This window comes from Homo sapiens, chromosome 6 (assembly GCF_000001405.40).
Source record: "Homo sapiens chromosome 6, GRCh38.p14 Primary Assembly".
Classification (NCBI taxonomy): Eukaryota; Metazoa; Chordata; class Mammalia; order Primates; family Hominidae; genus Homo; species Homo sapiens.
The window spans coordinates 141,954,752-141,979,768 of record NC_000006.12 but is presented as its reverse complement, the minus strand read 5'-3'; the positions used below and the strand labels follow the sequence as shown (position 1 = coordinate 141,979,768).

The following is a 25,017-nucleotide window of genomic DNA, read 5'->3' as shown; positions in this document are numbered from 1 at the left end:
TAAAAACAAAACTTTTAAATTTGAGCCAGAAAACATAACCTTTCCCTTGCTTTATTCTTTGTTTTGTTTTAAACATGTATAGCCCCATTTGGATATGCTTGACTTTACTTTTTATAATATTGCTGTCTTAAACTTCTCATCTGAATGATGTATCTATAATATATAGTGAACTATCACTGGCCATACTTGAGTTTCTTAGTTGGCTGATATTCAGCATATCCAAGACATGTATGATCTCTGCTTACCATCTTGTCTTCTCTAGCATGCTTTCCTATGTGCCCCATAAATTCACTAACACCCACACCTCACACTTTTGATCTTACTTCTGCATGTTTTTTATTTGTTTGATTTTTACTTTTGTGAGTGGCAGTCTCATCCAGGAAAAGAAATGTGGTATTTCCCTGGTTCATCCTCACCCTCATCAACCAATTAACGATCAAATTCTTTCACTCAGCAACTGCAGTTCAAGGTATATGGTTCATTTATGAAGATAGATAGACTATGGTATGGGCCATACAAATATCTCAACAAATTTAAAAGGATTGAAATTCTGCAAAATATCTTTTCTGATCACTATGAAATCATATATATGTAAAATTAAAAATTACTTATATATACATACTTCTAAATATTTGGAAATTAAGCAGATTATTTCTAAAGAATCATGGGTAAAGTAATAAGTTACATGGAAAGCTAAAATATTTAAACTAGATGATAATAAAAATACACATATTAAATTTTGGGATATAGCTAAAACAACTCATAGAGGAATATTTGTAATTTTTGATGCTTACATTAGTGAATTTCATGAAAGTGTCTATCTTATTCACTGGTCATTCAGGTATCTGAAGCATAATAGGTGTTTAATAAATATTTATTTATGGAATCAACCTTCTTTATGTGTCACTTCTTGCTGACACTTTATAACTCTTTATATTCATTCTTAGCAAACTTTTTCATGTTTATTTTCCTTATAAAATGTGCAAAAGTTAGAAACTATGAAATGGCTATCTCTTATTTTTGGGATTGACATTATATTTCCCAATCAAGAGAGTGATAATTTCTTTTCAAGTGTATTTCTTTTTGTTTTTGTCTACAGAAGCATATTATTTTCAAATAATTATTAATGATTCCTGTTTAGCTTTGTTTTTACATTATCTACATATATTATTATGAAAAGGGTATTTAAGGCCGGGCACGGTGGCTCACGCCTGTAATCCCAGCACTTTGGGAGGCCGAGGCAGGTGGATCACAAGGTCAGGAGATCGAGACCATCTTGGCTAACACGGTAAAACCCTGTCTCTACTAAAAATACAAAAAATTAGCCGGGCGTGGTGGTGGGCGCCTGTAGTCCCAGCTACTCGGGAGGCTGAGGCAGGAGAATGGCGTGAACCCGGGAGGCGGAGCTTGCAGTGAGCCTGCAGTGAGCTGAGATCCCACCACTGCACTCCAGCCTGGGCGACAGAGCGAGACTCCGTCTCAAAAAAAATAAAAAAATAAAAAACAAAAAAAAAGTAAAAGAAAAGGATATTTAAGACACAGGTAACAAAATTGAGAGAACAGTAAATTTTTACTAGTTTACCACAGACATATAGTTGAATAAAAATATAAGTTTTATGATAGAACTATTCTTAGAAGAATGCATTGTATCAACGTAGATTCTATCTTCTGTTAGAAAAGTGTGAATGGAGCCCTAGATCCTACTGTTTTTAGGTTAATGACATCATTCTTTTCAAGTAATAATACCTTGATGTTTGACATTGATTGACTGTAATTTGTGACTGCCAATTCTGTGTTCTTCTGTCATTGTCGTTCTCTGTAATTTTAGAGATAAAGTTTTACACACATAGTGATCTCAATAAATATTAATGTATAAATACTGAATTGGTATGATTTCAAATTGCTCAGCTCCATTTCCCATAGGAATAACTCCTGGATTATTTTCCCAACACCTAGAATAGACTTTGCTTTCCATTTAATAACTCTATGAAATAAATGAAAGTCCATAGCTTTTTCTTTAAACAAAAAAGGAAAAAAAGTTTAGTTTTAATATGGGTACTGATAAAAACCTTGGGCCGGGCGCGGTGGCTCACGCCTGTAATCCCAGCACTTTGGGAGGCTGAGGCGGGTGGATCACGAGGTCAGGAGATCGAGACCATCCTGGCTAACACGCTGAAACCCCGTCTTTACTAAGAATACAAAAATTAGCCGGACATGGTGGCGGGCGCCTGTAGTCCCAGCTACTCAGGAGGCTGAGGCAGGAGAATGGCGTGAACCCGGGAGGCAGAGCTTGCAGTGAGCCGAGATCGCGCCACTGCACTCCAGCCTGGGCGACAGAGCGAGAGACTCCGTCTCAAAAACAAACAAACAAACAAAAAAAAAAACTTGAAGAACTAATTCCCCCAGTCTGTAGCTCTAGCTCTACCTAACTTTTCTAATGAAAAATCTGTGAGGAAAGTTTGCAAAGGTGGTCTTGCTACAAGAGTCATCATGGTTGTTGCCTGGAGAGAGTTACCCTCTTCATGTTGAGAAATGCTGACATATGCTGCACAGGACAGTACTTAAAAATTAGACTCATTTTGACATTTTGACAAATAAACGTGCATGCTAATTTTTCAAAGCAGGCACAGATGACTGATTATTTCATCAAACACTTGATCTAAGATCATAAGTGGTGCCAAGCCAAAATTAATCAGCAATTTAAATGACTGACAGGTTGTTTAAAGTCTAAATCCCTGCCATACAACTTAGTGCTCTGGGATTAGTCTCCAAAGGCAAAGAGGGTAGAGAAAGAAAATATCATTTATTTGAAATATATTTCATTAGTTTGACACAAATAGAATATCTGTTGTATAAAGCATTTTTAGAAAAACCAAAAAGGGCAAGTTGGATTATAAATGGGTGTGGATTATTTAAAAACAATATTAATTTTTTAAAATAAATCATATACTAGATTAGCATTCCAAAACTGAGAATCCGAAATGCTGCAAAATCCAAAATTTTTTGAGCTTCAACATAATGTCCAGAGAAAATACTGCTTGCTTTTATTCAACCAGTGAGTACATATAATGCAAAAATTCCAAAATCTGAAAACATCTGAAATCCAAAACATTTCTGTTCCCATACATTTTGGATAAGGGGTACTCAGGCTATATTTACAGAGTAAAGTACATCAAAAGAAAAGAAAAATAGGAACAAGACAAACCACTATTTATAGTTCGATTCATTTTTTTAATCTTTTATTCTATTTAATTTTCTTTTTTCCTTCTATATTTGAACACCATTTTCTCCAAATAAAAAATTAGAGACATGTTCTATATAATATTTTACAAAGTTTTTTGGCTTACAATTAGCAATTTATTTTGGATATATTTTCCTTGTACTGCATATAACTCTGATCATTTTACTGTTATGGTATAGAGGCATTTCATTAATTTTGAATCCAGCTTCTTCTTGTTACGACTATGGTACGACAAATGCTTGTGCATGTAAGTGCAATGGTTTTACCCAATACAGTTAGAATTTGATGTTGGATAATCCAAAGAAGGTTAAATTGAAGAATTATAAGAATATAGCATAAAGACACTAATTTGTAAATGCAAAGTCACTTAACGCATTGGGCCAACACTAATCAAATTCCTATGACATCTTCTTTTGCATAAGCCACTGGTGTTTTGCATTCAGTTTGACTTTTGTAAGAAATTTCCTGAAAATGTGCACATTTAGAAATTATTGCAGAATTATCTCAGTGTTTTTTTTTTTTTTTTTTTTTTTTTTACTATATTTTATGTTCAATTTGACAGTACATTTCAGGGACTTGAGTTTTTGAGGTCTCTCCTAAACTTTCAGAAAGTTGTTTTTGACAGAAACACTTGTCTTTTTTATTGGTCTGTATAATGTAACTGCCCAACAGGTTCTTGCTGCACACTGCACAAAGACCATTGCATTGCAGTAAATAAATAATTTAATAGACATGACGCTGGTTACACCATATGGGAGATGGAGTTATTACTCAAATCAATCTCATTGAAGGCTTGTAGGTTAGGGGTTTTTCTTTTTTTATTTTATTTTATTTTTATTATACTTTAAGTTTTAGGGTACATGTGCACAATGTGCAGGTTAGTTACATATGTATACATGTGCCATGCTGGTGTGCTGCACCCATTAACTCGTCATTTAGCATTAGGTATATCTCCTAAAGCTATCCCTCCCCCCTCCCCCCACCCCAAAACAGTCCCCAGAGTGTGATGTTCCCCTTCCTGTGTCCATGTGTTCTCATTGTTCAATTCCCACCTATGAGTGAGAATATGCGGTGTTTGGTTTTTTGTTCTTGCGATAGTTTACTGAGAATGATGATTTCCAATTTCATCCATGTCCCTACAAAGACATGAACTCATCATTTTTTATGGCTGCATAGTATTCCATGGTGTATATGTGCCACATTTTCTTAATCCAGTCTATCATTGTTGGACATTTGGGTTGGTTCCAAGTCTTTGCTATTGTGAATAGTGCCACAATAAACATACGTGTGCATGTGTCTTTATAGCAGCATGATTTATAGTCCTTTGGGTATATACCCAGTAATGGGATGGCTGGGTCAAATGGTATTTCTAGTTCTAGATCCCTGAGGAATCGCCACACTGACTTCCACAAGTGTTGAACTAGTTTACAGTCCCACCAACAGTGTCAAAGTGTTCCTATTTCTCCACATCCTCTCCAGCACCTGTTGTTTCCTGACTTTTTAAAGATTGCCATTCTAACTGGTGTGAGATGGTATCTCATTGTGGTTTTGATTTGCATTTCTCTGATGGCCAGTGATGGTGAGCATTTTTTCATGTGTTTTTAGGCTGCATAAATGTCTTCCTTAGAGAAGTGTCTGTTCATGTCCTTCGCCCACTTTTTGATGGGGTTGTTTGTTTTTTTTCTTGTAAATTTGTTTGAGTTCATTGTAGATTCATTGTAGATATCTGACAAAGGGATATTAGCCCTTTGTCAGAAGAGTAGGTTGCGAAAATTTTCTCCCATTTTGTAGGTTGCCTGTTCACTCTGATGGTAGTTTCTTTTGCTGTGCAGAAGCTATTTAGTTTAATTAGATCCCATTTGTCAACTTTGGCTTTTGTTGCCATTGCTTTTGGTGTTTAAACATGAAGTCCTTGCCCATGCCTATGTCCTGAATGGTAATGCCTAGGTTTTCTTCTAGGGTTTTTATGGTTTTAGGTCTAACGTTTAAGTCTTTAATCCACCTTGAATTAATTTTGTATAAGGTGTAAGGAAGGGGTCCAGTTTCAGCTTTCTACATATGGCTAGCCAGTTTTCCCAGCACCATTTATTAAATAGGGAATCCTTTTCCCATTGCTTGTTTTTCTCAGGTTTGTCAAAGATCAGATAGTTGTAGATATGCGGCATTATTTCTGAGGGCTCTGTTCTGTTCCATTGATCTATATCTCTGTTTTGGTACCAGTACCGTGCTGTTTTGGTTACTGTAGCCTTATAGTATAGTTTGAAGTCAGGTAGCGTGATGCCTCCCGCTTTGTTGTTTTGGCTTAGGATTGACTTGGCGATGCGGGCTCTTTTTTGGTTCCATATGAACTTTAAAGGAGTTTTTTCCAATTCTGTGAAGAAAGTCATTGGTAGCTTGATGGGGATGGCATTGAATTTGTAAATTACCTTTGGCAGTATGGCCATTTTCACGATATTGATTCTTCCTACCCATGAGCATGGAATGTTCTTCCATTTCTTTGTATCCTCTTTTATTTCATTGAGCAGTGGTTTGTAGTTCTCCTTGAAGAGGTCCTTCATGTCCCTTGTAAGTTCGATTCCTAGGTATTTTATTCTCTTTGAAGCAATTGTGAATGGGAGTTCACTGATGATTTGGCTCTCTGTTTGTCTGTTATTGGTGTATAAGAATGCTTGTGATTTTTGTACATTGATTTTGTATCCTGAGACTTTGCTGAAGTTGCTTATCAGCTTAAGGAGATTTTGGGCTGAGACAATGGGGTTTTCTAGATATACAATCATGTCATCTGCCAACAGGGACAATTTGACTTCCTCTTTTCCTAATTGAATACCCTTTATTTCCTTCTCCTGCCTAATTGCCCTGGGCAGAACTTCCAACACTGTGTTGAATAGGAGTGGTGAGAGAGGGCATCCCTGTCTTGTGCCAGTTTTCAAAGGGAATGCTTCCAGTTTTTGCCCATTCAGTATGATATTGGCTGTGGGTTTGTCATAGATAGCTCTTATTATTTTGAGATACATCCCATCAATACCTAATTTATTGAGAGTTTTTAGCATGAAGGGTTGTTGTATTTTGTCAAAGGCCTTTTCTGCATCTATTGAGATAATCATGTGGTTTTTGTCTTTGGTTCTGTTTATATGCTGGATTACATTTATTGATTTGTGTATATTGAACCAGCCTTTCATCCCAGGGATGAAGCCCACTTGATCATGGTGGTTAAGCTTTTTGATGTACTGCTGGATTCGTTTTGCCAGTATTTTATTGAAGATTTTTGCATCAATGTTCATCAAGGATATCGGTCGAAAATTCTCCTTTTTGGTTGTGTCTTTGCCCAGCTTTGGTATCAGGAGGATGCTGGCCTCATAAAATGAGTTAGAGAGGATTCCCTCTTTTTCTATTGATTGGAATAGTTTCAGAAGGGATGGTACCAGTTCCTCCTTGTACCTCTGGTAGAATTCGGCTGTGAATCCATCTGGTCCTGGACTCTTTTTGGTTGGTAAGCTATTGATTATTGCCACAATTTCAGAGCCTGTTATCGGTCTATTCAAAGAGTCAACTTCTTCCTGGCTTAGTCTTGGGAGGGTGTATGTGTCAAGGAATTTATCCATTTCTTCTAGATTTTCTAGTTTATTTGCGTAGAGGTGTTTGTAGTATTCTCTGATGGTAGTTTGTATTTCTGTGGGATCGGTGGTGATATCCCCTTTATCATTTTTTATTGCATCTATTTGATTCTTCTCTCTTTTCTTCTTTATTAGTCTTGCTAGCAGTCTATCAATTTTGTTGATCCTTTCAAAAAACCAGCTCCTGGATTCATTAATTTTTTGAAGGGTTTTTTGTGTCTTTATTTCCTTCAGTTCTGCTCTGATTTTAGTTATTTCTTGCCTTCTGCTAGCTTTTGAATGTGTTTGCTCTTGCTTTTCTAGTTCTTTTAATTGTGATGTTAGGGTGTCAATTTTGGATCTTTCCTGCTTTCTCTCATGGGCATTTAGTGCTGTAAATTTCCCTCTACACACTGCTTTATATGTGTCCCAGAGATTCTGGTATGTTGTGTCTTTGTTCTCGTTGGTTTCAAAGAATATCTTTATTTCTGCCTTCATTTCGTTATGTACCCAGTAGTCATTCAGGAGCAGGTTGTTCAGTTGCCATGTAGTTGAGCGGTTTTGAGTAAGTTTTTTAACCTTGAGTTCTAGTTTGTTTACACTGTGGTCTGAGAGACAGTTTGTTATAATTTCTGATCTTTTACGTTTGCTGAGGAGAGCTTTACTTCCAAGTATGTAGTCAATTTTCGAATAGGTGTGGTGTGGTGCTGAAAAAAATGTATATTCTGTTGATTTGGGGTGGAGAGTTCTGTAGATGCCTATTAGGTCCGCTTGGTGCAGAGCTGAGTTCATTTCCTGGGTATCCTTATTAACTTTCTGTCCTGTTGATCTGTCTAATGTTGACAGTGGGGTGTTAAAGTCTCCCATTATTATTGTGTGGGAGTCTAAGTCTCTTTGTAGGTCCCTCAGGACTTGCTTTATGAATCTGGGTACTCCTGTATTGGGTGCATATATATTTAGGATAGTTAGCTCTTCTTGTTGAATTGATCCCTTTACCATTATGTAATGGCCTTCTTTGTCTCTTTTGATCTTTGTTGGTTTAAAGTCTGTTTTATCAGAGACTAGGATTGCAACCCCTGCCTTTTTTTGTTTTCTATTTGCTTGGTAGATCTTCCTCCATCCTTTTATTTTCAGACTATGTGTGTCTCTGCACATGAGATGGGTTTCCTGAATACAGCACACTGATGGGTCTTGACTCTTTATCCAATTTGCCTTTTAATTTGTCTTTCAATGGGAGGATTTAGTCTATTTACATTTAAAGTTAATATTGTTATGTGTGAATTTGATCCTGTCATTATGATGTTAGCTGGTTCTTTTGCTGGTTAGTTGATGCAGTTTCTTCCTAGTCTCAATGGTCTTTACAATTTGACATGATTTTGCAGTGGCTGGTACCAGTTGTTCCTTTCCATGTTTAGTGCTTCCTTCAGGAGCTCTTTTAGGGCAGGCCTGGTGGTGACAAAATCTCTCAGCATTTGCTTGTGTGTAAAGTATTTTATTTCTTCTTCACTTATGAAGCTTAGTTTGGCTGGATATGAAATTATGGGTTGAAAATTCTTTTCTTTAAGAATGTTGAATATTGGCCCCCACTCTCTTCTGCCTTGTAGAGTTTCTGCCGAGAGATCCGCTGTTAGTCTGATGGGCTTCCCTTTGAGGGTAACCCGACCTTTCTCTCTGGCTGCTCTTAACATTTTTTCCTTCATTTCAACTTTGGTGAATTTGACAATTATGTGTTTTGGAGTTGCTTTTCTCGAGGAGTAGCTTTGTGGCGTTCTCTGTATTTCCTGAATCTGAACGTTGGCCTGCCTTGCTAGATTGGGGAAGTTCTCCTGGATAATATCCTGCAGAGTGTTTTCCAACTTGGTTCCATTCTCCCCGTCACTTTCAGGTACACCAATCAGACGTAGATTTGGTCTTTTCACATAGTCTCATATTTCTTGGAGGCTTTGTTCATTTCTTTTTATTCTTTTTTCTCTAAACTTCCCTTCTCACTTCATTTCATTCATTTCATCTTCCATCACTGATAGCCTTTCTTCCAATTGATCCCATCGGCTGCTGAGGCTTCTGCATTCTTCACATAGTTCTCAAGCTTTGGCTTTCAGCTCCATCAGCTCCTTTAAGTACTTCTCTGTATTGGTTATTCTAGTTATATATTTGTCTAAATTTTTTTCAAAGTTTTCAACTTCTTTGCCTTTGGTTTGAATGTCCTCCCATAGCTCGGAGTAGTTTGATCATCTGAAGCCTTCTTCTCTCAGCGCGTCAAAGACATTCTCCGTCCAGCTTTGTTCCATTGCTGGTGAGGAGCTGTGTTCCTTTGGAGGAGGAGAGGCTCTCTGCTTTTTAGAGTTTCCAGTTTTTCTGCTCTGCTTTTTCCCCATCTTTGTTGTTTTCTACTTTTGGTCTTTGATGATGGTGATGTACAGATGGGTTTTTGGTGTGGATGTCCTTTCTGTTTGTTAGTTTTCCTTCTAACAGACAGGACCCTCAGCTGCAGGTCTGTTGGAGTTTGCTAGAGGTCCACTCCAGACCCTGTTTGCCTGGGTACCAGCAGCGGTGGCTGCATAACAGCGGATTTTCATGAACCCCGAATGCTGCTGTCTGATCGTTCCTCTGGAAGTTTTGTCTCAGAGGAGTACCCAGCCATGTGAAGTGTCAGTCTGCCCCTACTGGGGGGTGCCTCCCAGTTGGGCTGCTCGGGGCTCAGGGGTCAGGGACCCACTTGAGGAGGCAGTCTGCCCGTTTTCAGATCTCCAGCTGCGTGCTGGGAGAACCACTGCTCTCTTCAAAGCTGTCAGACAGGGACATTTAAGTCTGCAGAGGTTACTGCTGTCTTTTTGTTTGTCTGTGCCCTGCCCCCAGAGGTGGAGCCTACAGAGGCAGGCAGACCTCCTTGAGCTGTGGTGGGCTCCACCCAGTTGGAGCTTCCCGGCTGCTTTGTTTACCTAAGCAAGCTGGGCAATGGCGGGCACCCCTCCCCCAGGCTCGCTGCCGCCTTGCAGTTTGATCTCAGACTGCTGTGCTAGCAATGAGTGAGACTCTGTGGGCGTAGGACCCTCCGAGCCATGTGTGGCGTATAATCTCCTGGTGCGCCGTTTTTTAAGCCCGTTGGAAAAGCTCAGTATTGGGGTGGGAGTGACCCGATTTTCCAGGTGCCGTCTGTCACCCCTTTATTTGACTAGGAAAGGGAACTCCCTGACCCCTTGCGCTTCCCGAGTGAGGCAATGCCTCGCCCTGCTTCGGCTCGCGCACGGTGTGCTGCACCCACTGTCCTGCGCCCACTGTCTGGCACTCCCTAGTGAGATGAACCCGGTACCTCAGATGGAAATGCAGAAATACCCGACTTCTGCATCGCTCATGCTGGGAGCTGTAGACTGGAGCTGTTCCTATTCGGCTATCTTGGCTCTACCCTCAAGGGGTTTTTCAAAGGTAGTTTGTGGAACGGGGTGGGGATGGCTAGACAATGGATGCTTGTTGCTGTTTGGTTGGGGGGTGCAATCATAGGAGTATGGGAAATGATTCTCCTTTGCTCTGAATTACTCCTGGGTGGGGCCTCAGAAGCAGCGGGTGGGTCCAGGTTGAGTCATCATATGTATCAGGCATGCAAAAAATCTGAAAAGATATCTCAAAAGCCAATTTTAGGTTTTGTAATAGTGATGTATTCTGCCGGAGTAATTGGGGAAGTAGCGTATCTTGTGACCTCTGGAATGATGGCTGGCAATCCTCCTTCCCTCCCTTCCTTCCTTCCTTCCTTCCTTCCTTCCTTCCATCTTTCCCATTTTTTTCTCCTCAATCATTGCTGCATTCCCCTGCCACCTACTTTTCCTCCACCTCTTGGTCCTCCCCCTTCTCTTCCTCTTTCTCTTTTTCTTCAAGATTTCCATGGCTAAAATCTGTATTAGTCAGGGTTCTCTAGAGGGACAGCATAAATGGGATATATGTATATATAAAAGGGAGTTTATTAGGGTGAATTGGCTAATATGATCATAAGGTAAAGTCCCACATTAGGCTGCTTGCAAGCTGAGGAAGAAAGAAGCTGGTAGTGGCATAGTCAAAGTCCAAAAGACTCGTCAGCAGGGAGCCAACAGGGCAGCTTTCAGTCTGTGGGCAAAGGTCCGAGAGCCCTTGACAAACCACTGGCGTAAGTCCAAGAGTTCAAATTTAGAAGAACCTGGAGTCTGATGTCCAAGGGCAGGAAGGAAGCAGCCAGCATGGGAGAAAGATGAAAGCCAGAAGACTCAGCAAGCCAGCTTATTCCACCTTCTTCTGTCTGCTTTGTTCTAGCTGTGCTAGCAGTTGATTGGATGGTGCCTACCAATTTGCTCCAGTTCCCATTGAGAGTTGGTCTCCCTCTCCTAGTCCACTGACTCAAATGTCAATCTTCTCTGACAAAATCCTAACAGATACACCCATAAACAATACTTTTCCGGCTATCTAGACATCCTTCAATCCAATCAAGTTGACATCTAATATTAACCATCACAGCTATTCTTGGGAATTTTATATTTCTATGAAATTTTTTGATAAGCTTTCCATAAATAAACTATGTGAAATTTTAACTAAAATTGTATTAAATTCATAGATTATTTTGTGAAGAATTGCCATTGATATGGGTTGGCTGTATCCTCACTCAAATCTCATTTTGAATTGTATTCCCATAATTCCCATGTGTTGTGGGAGGGACCCTGTGGGAGACAATTGAATCATGGGGGTGGTTTTTCTCATACTGTTCTCATGGTCATGAATAAGTCTCATGAGATCTGATGGTTTGATAATGGGAAATCTGAAGTCTGTTTTGCCCAGCTCTCATTCTCTGTCTTGCCACCATCATGTAAGAAGTACCTTTTGCCTTCCACCACGATTATGAGGCCTCCCTAGCCTGTAAGTCCATTAAATCTCTTTCTTTTGTAAATTGCCCAGTCTCAGGTATGTCTTCATCACCAGAGTGAAAGCAGACTAATACAGTAAACTGGTACCAGTACAGTGGGGTGCTGCTGAAAAGATACCCGAAAATGTGGAAACAACTTTGGAACTGGGTAACAGACAGAGGCTGGAACAGTTTGGAGGGCTCAGAAGATGATGGGAAAATGTGGGAAAGTTTGGAACTTCCTAGAGACTTGTTGAATGGCCTTGACCAATATGCTGATAGTGATAGGAACAATAAGGTCAAGGCTGAGGTCGTCTCAGATGGAGACGAGGAACTTGTTGGGAACTGGAGCAAATGTGACACTTGTTATGTTTTAGCAAAGAGACTGGTGGCATTTTGCCCCTGCCCTAGATTTCTGGAAGTTGAATTTGAGAGAGATGATTTGGGTATGCAGTAGAAGAAAGTTCTAAGCATCAAAGGATTCAAGATGTGACTTGGGTGCTGTTAAAAGCATTCAGGTTTATAAAGGAAGCAGAGTATAAAAGTTTGGAAAATTTGCAGCCTGACTATGCAATAGAAAAGAAAATACCATTTTCTGAGCAGAAATTCAAGCCAGCAGCAGAAATTTGCATAAGTAACAAGAAGCTGAATGTTAATCCCCAAGACAATGGGGAAAAAGTCTCCAGGACATATTAGAGGTCTTCACTGCAGCCCTTTCCATCACAGGCCTGGAAAATAGGAGGGAAAAGTCATTTCCTGGACCTGGCCCAGGGTCTCTGTGCTATGTGCAGTACAGGGACTTGATGCCTTTATCCCAGCCACTCCAGTCTAAAAGTGGCCAAGGTATAGCTGGGGCCATGATGTCAGAGGGTTCAAGCACCAAGCCTTGCAGCTTCCATATGATGTTGAGCCTGCAGGTGCACAGAAGTCAAGAATTGAGGTTTGGGAACCTCCGCCTAGATTTCAGAGGATGTATGGAAATGCCTGGATGTTCAGGCAGAAGTTTGCCACAGGGGCAGGGCTCTCATGGAGAACCTGTGCTAGGGCAGTGCAGAAGGGAAATGTGGGGTCAGAGCTCCCACACAGAGTCTCTACTGGGGCACTGCCTAGTGGAGCTGTGAGAAGAGGGCCACCATCCTCTAGACCCCAGAATGGTAGATCCACTGACAGCTTGCATCGCGTGCCTGGAAAAGCTGCAGACACTCAACACCAGCCTGTGAAAGCAGCCAGGAAGGAGGCTATACCCTGTAAAGCCACAGAGGCAGAGCTGCTCAAGACCATGGGAGCCCACCTCTTGCATCAGTGTGACCTGAATGTGAGACGTGGAGTCAAAGAAGATCATTTTGGAGCATTAAGATTTGACTGCCCCGCTGGATTTTGGACTTGCATGGGGCCTGTAGTCCCTTTGTCTTGGCCAATTTCTCCCATTTGGAACTGGTGTGTTTACCCAATGCCTGTACCCCCATTGTATCTAGGAAGTAACTAACTTGCTTTTGATTTTACAGCTCATAGGCAGAAGGGACTTGCCTTGTTTCAGATGAGACTTTGGACCGTGGACTTTTAAGTTAATGCTGAAATGAGTTAAGACTTTGGGGGACTGTTGGAAAGGCATGATTGGTTTTGAAATGTGAGGACACGAGATTTGGGAGGGGCCAGAGGCAGAATCATATGGTTTGGCTGTGTCCCCACCCAAATAACATCTTAAATTGTACTCCCGTAATTCTCACGTATTGAGGGATGGCCCCATGAGGAGATAATTGAATCATGTGGGAGGATTCTCCCATACTGTTCTCCTGCTAGTGAATATGTCTCATGAGATCTGATGGTTTGATGGGGGAAACCTGTTTCACTTGGCTCTCATTCTTTCTCTTGCTGCTGCCATGGAAAAAGTGCCTTTTGCCTTCTGCCATGATTGTGAGGCCTCCCTAGCCACGTGGAACTGTGAGTCCATTAAAACTCTTTCTTTTGTAAATTGCCCAGTCTCAGGTATGTCTTTATCAGCAGCATGAAAAGAAACTAATACAGCCATCTTTACCATATGAAATGTTTTTATACAGGAACCTGGCTGCTGTGTCAAGAATAGACTCTATGGGAGTATGGTGATGAGGGTGTGGAGGGTGGCAAAAATATAGTCATACGTATCAGTTAAGAGGCTACTAAAGTGATGTCGACAAGACTGATACTGGCCACTCACGTCAGGCTAGTGGCAACAGAGGTGATAAGTGGTCCATTTTGGATATGTTTTTTAAAATAATCAAAAAGATTTCCTGATTAATTTGATGTGATAATTGAGAAAAATAAAAGAGTAAAGAATGGTTTCAGTGTTTTTGGTTGGAACAACAGGAAGGATGATGTTTCATAAATTAAATGGAGAACACTGTGGGCAGAACAGATTCTGGGGAGCAATATCAAGAGTTAAGTTTGAAGCATGTTCAATTTGAGATGTCAGTGAAAGAAGGTGGGGAGAGGTCTGAGCCAGAAATAGAAATGTAACTGAACTCAAGTCCAGCTGCTCATCACTGGAAATCCAAAATACAAGAAGTGAAGTGTGGTGAAGGGAAAGCAACATTATTCAAATGCTGGAAGTTGGGAAATGGCTGGGCTCATACCTCCAAAAGCCATTTCAAAACTGTAGGTAAGCGAGTTTCAGAAGAGAAACTTGGCATGAGAGGTATGCAGGTGTGGAGCAGGGTATAGGGTCTCTGTGTCTGGTTCTGATGGCTATTGTAGGCAATTGTCCACCTGGAATGTGGGCTGGCACCATCTTGACAATGGCCAGGTTGTAGATTAATTGCTATGGGTAACCCTTAGATGGGGAGAATTCTGCTGCTGGCTCTTCCTGCCTGTTTTATTTCAAGATTAGCTCCTGGAATGTCTAAGCAAGCACGTAATTAGATATGTGAATGCAGTGCAAGGGAGTGCCTGGTGAGAAAGGAGAGAAACAGTTTCAAAGTACATTTGAAGGCTAAGATTAGAGAGAAGGAAAAATAATTTTTAAAATGCATTTTAAAGTCAAGCCACTCAATTACAACTCTCCACTGTCAACTTCCATTTTATTTCTTTAGAAGGTGGGTAATGTATTCAATCTAGCTACTTCCTCCTTGATGGAGATGTTCAGGGAATGTAACCAGTCTACGTGGATTTGAAAATATTCCTGAATACCTGGACTTATAGGAGAGATCTGTTGGAGGGCTCAAGAGCCCTCACATTCATACAGAATGTATGGCAATATATAATCCCCAGCAAAGAAGCACACCTATTCCTAAAATCATCGCTAGAATTATGAGCAGCTTTTTCCACCAAGAAGTTCCTGGCCCAAACAAATAAGATAGCCATTGGTCTAGTGACATCATAAGGTCAGACATAGCATTAATCCGTTTGTGCATATCCTAGAAGGATAGAAATATTCCCTTACTTACCTGGAATATATACGCAATATTCAGTTTTAATAATGGCACAAGACACAAGGTCCCCTTCGTGCAGCAAAGATATCCAAAGCCATGCAGTTCTTCAGAACAGCTTCTTGCATGTAGGTCATCCCAGAGTTTACTAAGGAGATACTTTGGAGGCTGTCATTGATAACCCACTGGGTATAATTTGCAAGGGTTTCTACATATTGGATGACATCTTCAATCCTGCTAATGGCATAAGGATTGAAGCCAAATAGTCATACCAGTGAAAAATGGATCTAGTCCGTGTCTTAATTAGGTGTGGGGGATTAGCAAGTTTTTGATTGTACTTTCTCCATTGCCCTTGCACCCATGGGAAACCTAAAGTACATTGTCCTAGTCATTCCAATGGCAAGCAAAGTGAGATATTAGGGCCATACAGCCATTCAGTGCTGTTGGACTAATACCAGTTTAAGCCGGAACACTGAGACCAATCTGTGGCAAACAAATCTGTGGCTTGCAAAATTATGATATGCTGACAGTGTTCTTGGGAAATCAAGCTCAGTATTCAAATAAGATTGGGTGATGAGTCACAGGTGTCATTTTGATGCTTCCAGTATAGAGGAGCTACTTGACTCAACTGCCCTGCAGTTGATGTCAACAAAATGAAACCATCTCAAATATGAAGAAAAACTTCTTTACAGTGAGAATTGCTAGATTTTATCTTAGGACTTAGTTGCAGATTGGTTATAGCTGTTCACATATTCTTATGTGATATTCATTGAGAAAGGCTTCCCATGTCTGGAATCACTGAGAGTTTTATTAATTGGCCAATTGATCACATTGCTCCTGGTTGTGTAAGCCATCACACCACCCTATTGTTTAAAAATTTTTGTTTTTTTGAGTCAGGGTCTCACTCTGTCACCTAGGCTGAAGTGCGGTGGTATGACTATAGCTCACTAAAATCTCAGCCTCCCTGGCTCAGAGAGCCTTAGGCTCCTGCCTTAGGTTCCTGAGTAGCTGGGACAACAGCTGGCATGCACCACCTTGCCTGGCTAATTTTTAAATTTTTTTTGTAGAGACGGGGCCTTGCCATGTTGTGTAGGCTGCACTTGAACTCTGGGGCTCAAGCAATTTTCCCATCTTGTCCTCCCAAAGTGCTGGGATTATAAGCGTGAGCTACAGTGCCTGGCATATTGTTTCAGAATTTTAATGAATGTTTTCAGATACTGCCAGTCATTTCCCTGCATAGGTAAAACCTACTAAGGCAGACCAGAGTTGTTGGAAAAGGGTTATTGACCACATATTCAGCAAATTTTCTTGTTGTAAACTGTGCATAGTGCTGTGCCTACTACAGCAAAAAATTATTAGTTTTAGCGAGCACAAAAAATGTACTTATTATGATAAAAACTAATAAGAGCTTTATATTATGAGAGCAAAGAAAGAAGTTTCTACTTATTGTCAAGGTTCTTTTAAAGAAACAATTTAGGTCTCTCTCTGATTCATAGGTCCAGGCAGGTTGGTTATCTGAGGTGGAGAAGGGGCAGCCTTCACCTGAGTATGATATATCCATGGCTTAACGCCAGACAGCTTCACTAATGAGTGGGTGGTTAGCAGTTCATTGATATCCTGTCCACTTTTCAGCAGCTGTTGGTTTTGTCCTTTGTTTTCCCAAGACTTCAGCAGCACTTTATCTCTTGGGTAGAAAGGGTGAAGAGGCTTGTCTGTGGGATATGCGGACCTGGAAAGGGAAAACTGATGCATAGTTAGTGATGTCTGCCCTAATTGTTGTTTATGTTGTTTCATTCTTGGTTCACCTACTAGACTAAAGGTGGGATTCCCAGGGAGGGATTTTGGAAGGATCACCTATAAATAATTTTTAAAGGGGTTAACCCTAGACTGCTTCAGGGCACTACTCTGATAAAGGCAATGGGTACGACCCTTTCCCAACTTAAATCCATTTCCTGATGGAGATTAGCCACTATCTTTTTCAAAGTTTGGTTTATTTTTTCTGTCTTTCCTATTGACTATGACTCCATGATGAATGCAATTTCCATTTCATCTGTAATGCTTGACTTATCTTCCCGGTAACCTCGGAAACAAAAGAAGAACCACTGTCACTTTGTACAGAGCAAGGAAGTGCAAAACGAGGAGTTATTTCATTTAGCAAAGCTTTTGCTACTTCTGTGGCCTTTACAGAATCAGTGGGAGTATGCTTCAATCTATCCTGAGAATATGTCTACAAACACTAAGTAGAAATTTATAGTTTTCACTTGCTCTGGGCCTCTGTGTGAAGTCAACCTGCCAGTCTTCATATGGACTCAGCCTTTGGTGTTGTGCTCCTTTCTCGGGTGGACTATGTTCAGTTTTGGGATTACTTTTTGCACATGGGTAGAATCCTTGTGTGATTTTCTGGATGATTCTCCAAATGTGTGGCCCTCTGAGGTAGGGCCGTATTAAGTCAACTAGGGTATCCCTTCCATAGTGGGTTCCTTCATGTAAATGTTTGAGAATTGAACAAACCAAAGTCTTGGGAGCCAAATGATCCCATGAGTGTAGTCTTCCAAGGTGAACTAGGGTCTGCATTAGTTAACCCTCAATCGTGGGCACACTCTTCATCCTCCTCAGTATAGTGAGGCTCGAGTCTGGTGAGTCCAAAGAGGTATGACAGCCCTCAAGCACCTGTGCTTCCCAGGCAGCCAAATTTGTGTCTTTGTTGGCTGCTTTGTTCCCTTTTTGATGCCCTGGGCATTGCATTATGGTGACCTGAGCAGATGGAGTGACTGCTTCCAGCAGGGCAAGGATTTCCACTGGATGCCTAATGTTCTTATTTCCTGAGGCCAAGAAGACTTGTTCTTTCCAAATAGCCCCATGGCCATATACCACCATAAAGACATATTTGGAGCCAATGTAAGTGTTTACTCACTTCCCCTGGGACAATTCTAAAGCTCTGTTGAGAGCGATCAGCTCAGCTTTTTGTGCTGTAGTGCTAGCAGGAAGGGCAGGAGCCCCTATTACCTTACCTACCTTACCTGTGATCACCATTGCATACCTGGCTTGGTGTCTATCTTCTATGAAGCTGCTTCCACCAGTGTAGAGCTCCCAGTCTGGAGTGATCATCAATTGATCTGATAAGTCCACCTCTTAGAGTAAGCCACATTAAGGATTTCTAGACAATTGTATTTCAATTCTTGATCAGGATCAGTGGCTGGAAGCAAGGTGGCTGGTTTAAGGCTGTGGTGGTTTATAAGGTGACATTTAGGTCATCCAGAAGATGACCTAATTTATTTACCCATTTCCTCTGCAGTAAGCCAGTAGCCTCACTTCTTTTCTAGCAAAGTTAGCACCTGATGAGGCACAAATATGGTGATGGACTGTCCTAGGGTAAACTTTTCTGCTTGCTGCGGAATTTTACAGGTGGCAGCCACTGCCCAGAGATAAGGGACCCATTCTTCAGTCATTTGATCCAATTGTTTAGAAAAATGTGCTCTAGGTTGCGAGGTGTCCCCCAACATTTGGAATAGCATTCCTAGCCCTATATTCTGCTTTTCATGTACAGAAAGCTTGAATGGCTTCTGGGGATTTGGCAATCCCAGATCCAGGGCTGACACTAGATTTTCTATAATAGTGTTGAATGTCTATTGACATTCGGCTATCCAGTGCAGGGTTTTCAAGTCTAATCTTTTCAGGGCTTCATACAGGGGCTTAGCCACAAGTCTGAAGCTGGGGATCAAAATTTGGCAAAAGCCTGCCGGCCGGGCGCGGTGGCTCACGCCTGTAATCCCAGCACTTTGGGAGGCCGAGGCGGGCGGATCACGAGGTCAGGAGATCGAGACCATCCTGGCTAACACGGTGAAACCCCGTCTCTACTAAAAATACAAAAAATTAGCCGGGCGTGGTAGCGGGCGCCTGTAGTCCCAGCTACTCGGGAGGCTGAGGCAGGAGAATGGCGTGAACCCGGGAGGCGGAGCTTGCAGTGAGCCGAGATCGCGCCACTGCACTCCAGCCTGGGCGACAGAGCGAGACTCCGTCTCAAAAAAAAAAAAAAAAAAAAAAGCCTGCCATACCCAAGAATCCCCACAATTGCCTCCTGTTTTCAGGGGCCTTTATGGCTGCTGTTGCCTGGTTTCCTGTCTGAAATCAGGCTTCTTTTTCCCTGTTTTAATGGAAACCCTAGGTATGTAACTTTTTGTTTACAGATTCGGGCCTTCTGAGGAGACACTTTATATCTGCATTGTGCCGGGTGGTTTAAAACCAAGATGGTGTTGGCCAGGCCCTTATCATAGCTTGAGCTTTAGCAGCAAGCCATCTACATACTGTAGCAGAACTTCCTCGTCTAATTGCAAATTTTTTAAGTCTCTTGCCAGTATTTCACTAAAAAGCTTGGGCAAGTTTTTAAAACCTTGAAGTAACACCGTCCAACAGTGCTGAAAAGTTGCTTTTGTTTCTGGGTCTTGTCATTTAAAGATAAATAGCTGTTGGGCTTTTCTTCAAATGGGATGCAAAGAAGGCATCCTTTAAGTCCAATTCTGAAAACCATCCATAGTTTCTGGGAATGGCAGCCAATAGGGTGTATGTATTAGGTGCAGTCAGATGAATATATTGGACAATTTCATTAATAGCTCTTAAATTCTGTATAAAAGGGTATTCATTCAAGTGGGGATTTTTCATAGGCAGGATAGGAGTGTTATATGGAGATCTGCAGGGGTGAATCAGCCCATTTTTAAATAAATTTTTGCAATACAGGCTGAATCTCATCAAAGACTTCTCATTTTAATGGATATTGTTTTTTCGAAGGTATTTTGACTCCTTCTTTTATTTCTATATGTACAGGCAGCACATTCTTAGCTTGGCCAGGGGTTTTGTCTGCCCGTACGCAGTTACTCACTCATTTGTTGCTTTCCAGAGGAATGGTTTCTTCTCTTTGTTGGGATTAGTGAGTAGTATCTGCAGCTGCAATGCTTGTTTCCGTGGGACCTGTAGGTGTAACTGCTGCTTTTCTGGGGAAAAAGTCACTTAAGAATTTAATTTACAAAGCAAGTTTCATTCCAGCAATGGGATAGGGGATTCTAGCATAGAAAGGAAGCTGTGCCTCAACTGCAAATCCCCCAGTTCGCATTCTAATGGTTGTAAGAAAACCTTTTGCTATATTCTACTTGCAACCCCCATCAGGAGTACTGTCGCTTTTGTGCTTTTTCCTTCTGGGGTGTTTAAAATGGAATAATATGTGCCCATATCAACAAGAAAATCAATCAGCTTCTGCCCCACTGTTGTTGTACCCAGGGATCCTTTGGGGAAATTTTAACTGGCTCTGAAAGATTTAGAGGCACTGCCATTAATTATTGGAAGCATAGGACTGTTCTACCATCTACTTCAAACTTCATTCTTAGCAACCCCTTCTTTTGTCTTTAGTTTAGGGCAGTCAGATCTCCAGTGGCCTCCTTCTTTACAATAGGCACATTGGTTGCTACCCAAGGCCATGCTCTGACCACCTCATCTCCCCTCTTTTGGCTGGCATGAGTTTTTCTCCAAAGTTTTCAAATATATTGTGGCTGGCTTTAGCCTTTTAGTTTCCCTGGCATTGTGTACGCTGAAGGCAATATCAAGTAGCTGGGAGAGTGATATGGCTTGGATGTCCCCTCCAAATCTCATAGAGAGATGTAATCCACAGTGTTGGAAGTGGGGCCTATTGGGAGGTGCTTGGGTCATGGGAGCGAATCCTTCATGGCTTGGTGCTGTCCTTGTGGTAGAGAATGAGCTCTCACATAATCTGGTTGTTTAAAGTGTGTGGCACTTACCACCTCTCTCTTGATCCTGCTTTCACTGTGTTGATGTGCCTGCTGCTGCTTCACCTTGTGCCGTGAGTAAAAGCTCCCTGGGGCCTCCCCAGAAGCCAAGCAGATGTCAGTGCCATGCTCGTACAGCATACGGAAGCATGAGGCAATTAAACCTCTTTTCTTTATAAATTACCCAGTCTCAGGTATTCCTTCATAGCAATGCAAGAGCAACCTAATGCAGAGACTTTATTCCAGTGCCCTGTCTTGTTTCCCTAGTGGACAGAGGCACTCTGTTGAATGAAAGTCATGTTTATCATTCTCAAATTTTTAGGAGCCTCTTAGTTTATATCTGTATATAATATCTGTATATTTACTGTAAGCTTTGTAAATGAGCTGTAAGAAATCAGATGGGTCTTCATTTTTCTTTTGGATAGCTGCCTGAATTTTATTCAGATTCTTCTGTTTTGACACCTCCTTTTTAAGTCCTTCCAGGATACATGTCTTATAATGATCCAGCTGGGCCACATCCCCATTTTTGGGGTCCCAGTTGAGATCCACAAATGGAGTTGCCCATCTGGGGTTGGGAATTCTGTTGGAATTTTTCTGATGTAGGTGCTGAGCCGCCTTATTTACCTTATCTATCACCAGCCTTCTCTCATCCACAGTCAAAAGTATGTTTAACAAGGCCTGTAAAGGGGGCTGGTGGGTAGCAAAGATACAGACAAAGAGATTAGTTATTTTCTGTGGGTCATCTCTAAAGGGTGGATTGGAGCTTTTCCAATTTAGCAAGTCAGAGGCAGAGAACAGGCTGTAAGTCCAACAATATCCAGCAGCCTTCCCTGTTGTTTTATTCCACCAATGAGTAGTTGGGTGGGTATTCTTTCATTGGATATTGCCCTGCCCTAGTCACAGTAAGGCCCATTGGGTGCCCTGTCAGGTCTTGGAGGGGAAGAACATTCCAATTCCTTCATTCTATTGAGGTAGGGCAGTTGCCCCTCATTCCTAGTCCAGGGCCTCCAGTGGTGACACTGAGGCAGCTTAGGCTGGAGTGGCTGCTTAAGTGGCTTGGGCTGGAGGAAGGGGATTGAAAGCATTTAAGAGGCCCATCTCCTCACTATCCTTTTCTTCCTGATTTCTGTGTTTGGCTTGAAACGGGCTTTCTTCTCATCTCTTTGTATAGTTAGCAATCTGCTCTCACCTCTCATGACATGAGTCCTGGTTATGCAATAACATGAAAGCCTGGACATAAGATATTTCTTCCCATTTCTCAAACCTCCGACAGAAGAACTCCAATTGTAATAGGGTACAATATTGAAGTCTTCAGTTCAGAGGCCAATATGCATCATCATCTAGCCTATACAGAGGCCAGATGGTATTATAATAAGAAATAATTTTCTTTCTAGTCATAGGCTTATTTTTACAGGCCTTCCAGTTGGCCAGGATATGCCCCGGGGGGTTTTCAGTTGGAGTGGAAATGTTGCCACGAATTTTGTCTCTATATTGAGTTCCTCCTCAATCAAAGGCCCAGGGGCTGGATGAACTCCCCTAGTCTGTAACTCCTTGTGTATATAATGCCATTCACAGTCTCAGTGGGCATGCTTGTATAAGCTTTGCCACATGGCCACAACAGCGAGAGACTTCAAAGACAGAGTTCCTTAAGTAGGCCAGGGGTTTGCAATGGTCTGCACAGCCCTTCCTAATAATTCAGTCTTATACCAGGTCCAAGTCCTACTGACCTGGCAATCCCAGTGAAATGAGACAGAGTGACAACAGATAAGGTGACAAATTAACCAAACAAAAAGAAAATGGGTTAGAGTGAGGATCATGCAGGGACTGGACCCAGGTGATATGGATCCTATTTTCTTATCTAAAGTAACACAGGGAGCAACCAGCAGGATTCCAGGCCCATTTAGATTGCCTGCAGGAAAGCTCACACATTTCCTCTTCCTCTCCCACCAACTGTAACACAAATGCGGGGAATACTTTGAAGTCCTAAAGAGGGTAACAAAATCAGGAGCCAGGATGGTGAGATCTGTTCTTCTCCTAACAAGGAGAGGCATGACCTACCTTGCTGCTTTCAGAAAATCAGGCTCATTTTTTCTGGTGGGACCTGAACCTGCAGATGGGATAAAGACCATACCAATCACTTTTACAAAGAGAAATAGAAACAGACATAAATCCAAATGCAGACACAAACACAATTGAATTCAAATAGAGTACTCCTAAACCAATTCCCACAAAGGGAAAAATTGAGAGAGAAGTTCTAAAATCTTGTCTCAAGCCCAAAAGGCATGACAGATGACTCATGCAAAGTCCAAGTGGCATACAAGCCAAAAATAGCAGTATGAATGACCCATGCTAGGTCCAAACAGCACAAAAAGTCCACGTAGCAGAGATAGAGGATTCCTAGGTGCATTGGGTGACTTACCAAGCCTTGAAGCCCATTGATTTCCCAGATGTCACTTTACCTGCACCAGTACAGCATTATATGCAGCTGATGCCACTGGGGGTAGGGTGAAGGAGGAAGATGGGAAGATCCCCAAGACAAAAGCATCTTGGTAGCTGCTGAGGAGCTCCATAGAGTTTCAGCCACGGAATCAGCTAGCCATGAGCAGCTGGAATTTATGAGCAACTGTCACTGCCTGGTAGCATGAGTGGGTAAGCCCTGGCACACTGCCATAGCTAGTTACTCTACTTGTTGGAAACCAGGCAGACAGTTCTTCACATGGGGAGGCTAAACCATTGTGAAAGCACAGCTCTTCACACAGGGCACCAAATTTGTAGTTGAACTCAGGTCTGGCTGCTTGCTGCTTGAAATGCAAAATACAAAAAGTGAGGTGCGGTGAAAGTAATGCAACTTTATTCAAATGCTAGCAGTTGGAAAATGGCCAGGCTCATGCCATTTCCATTGTCTTTGAAATTGTCCAAAACAATTTCAAAATTGTAGGCAAGTGAGTGGGTTTAAGAAGAGAAACTTGGCATCAGAAGTATGTGGGAGTGGGACAGGGTACAGGGTTTCTGTGTCTTGTTCTGATGGCTACCTTGAGTTATTGTCCAACTAGAGTGTGGGCGGGCACCATCTTGACAATGGCCAGGTTGTAGATTAATTGCCTTGAAGTAATCCTTAGCTGGGGAGAATTCTGCTGCTTGTTCTTCCTGCATGGTTTATTTCAAGGTTATCCCCTGAAATTTCCAAGCAAGCACATATTTAGATAAGCAAGTGCAGTGCAAAAGAGTGCCTGGTGGGAAGGGAGGGAAACAAAGAGTTTCAAAGTACATTTTAAGTCTAAGTTGAGAGAGAAGGAAAAACAAGTTTCAAAATAGATTTTAATGCCAAGCTGCTTGGTTGTAGAAATCCTCGCAGTAATATAAGCTGAACAAATTGAAAGTTAATAACTTTTCTAAGATTCATTAGAGAATTGATATTACAGGGAAAACCACTGCCCCCAAAATAAGAGAGGCAAGCAAATGCAGGGAATACTGTTTATGGGTTGCAGAATACACTGCCAGACCTGATAGTAATGCTTAAAGGATAATTGACTAATGGCTACAAGACTGAATCTAGATTAGCTTGGGAGAAGAAAATCTCCTGGAGGCCTGAGCTTTTTACTTGGGAAGGCAGAGTACCCTTTCATAAGTTTTGGCTCTAGGAACCCCATCAGGTTCTCAGAAGTGTCCTCAGAAACCCAAAGACAACAGTGGAGACAAAAACAAGGACACTAGAGGGAATGTAGCCTCTAACATGACAGCTACAGAAAATAGTAAACATAGACTAACTCCTAGGCAGATAAATACAACACCTCACATTAAGGCCTTTGAAGATCAGGGAAAAAAATGCCTCACACTTTCTGGCAGGGGGAGAGGAATAGGAGTCATTTTAAAGTAAATCTAGAGCACTTTGCTCTCCTTAACAAAGGACTGCCCTCAAAGGACACTGTTTCACCAGAGCCTAACACATTTGGGTTATACCAGATCCTAACTGACCCAGGGGAAGGGAAATATCAACTCCATCTCACTCCAGCCTTCTGTCTCACCTATGTGGGTGAAAATAGCTGAGAAGCACTTGTGAATGTCACAGCCAGGGTCATAGGCTGTGTAAAGACTGAGACCAAACATAGGATTTTAGACTGCATCTTTCCACTTCCCTGCACACCTT

General features: G+C 41.6%; 1 long non-coding RNA gene across 1 annotated transcript in view, besides 1 other annotated feature; it reads left to right on the top strand.

The window, feature by feature from the left end:
- LOC105378031 (uncharacterized) overlaps nucleotides 1-25,017 on the top strand; it is a 181,459-nt gene that overhangs the window by 50,658 nt on the left and 105,784 nt on the right. The gene's annotated exons all lie outside the window — the stretch shown is intronic.
- Nucleotides 15,550-15,750: a silencer, noted in NCBI's record as "peak6169 fragment used in MPRA reporter construct". NCBI's record gives its function as "represses an SCP1 promoter by STARR-seq MPRAs in K562 erythroleukemia cells {active_cell/tissue: K562}" and the evidence as "EXISTENCE:reporter gene assay evidence [ECO:0000049][PMID:32103011]".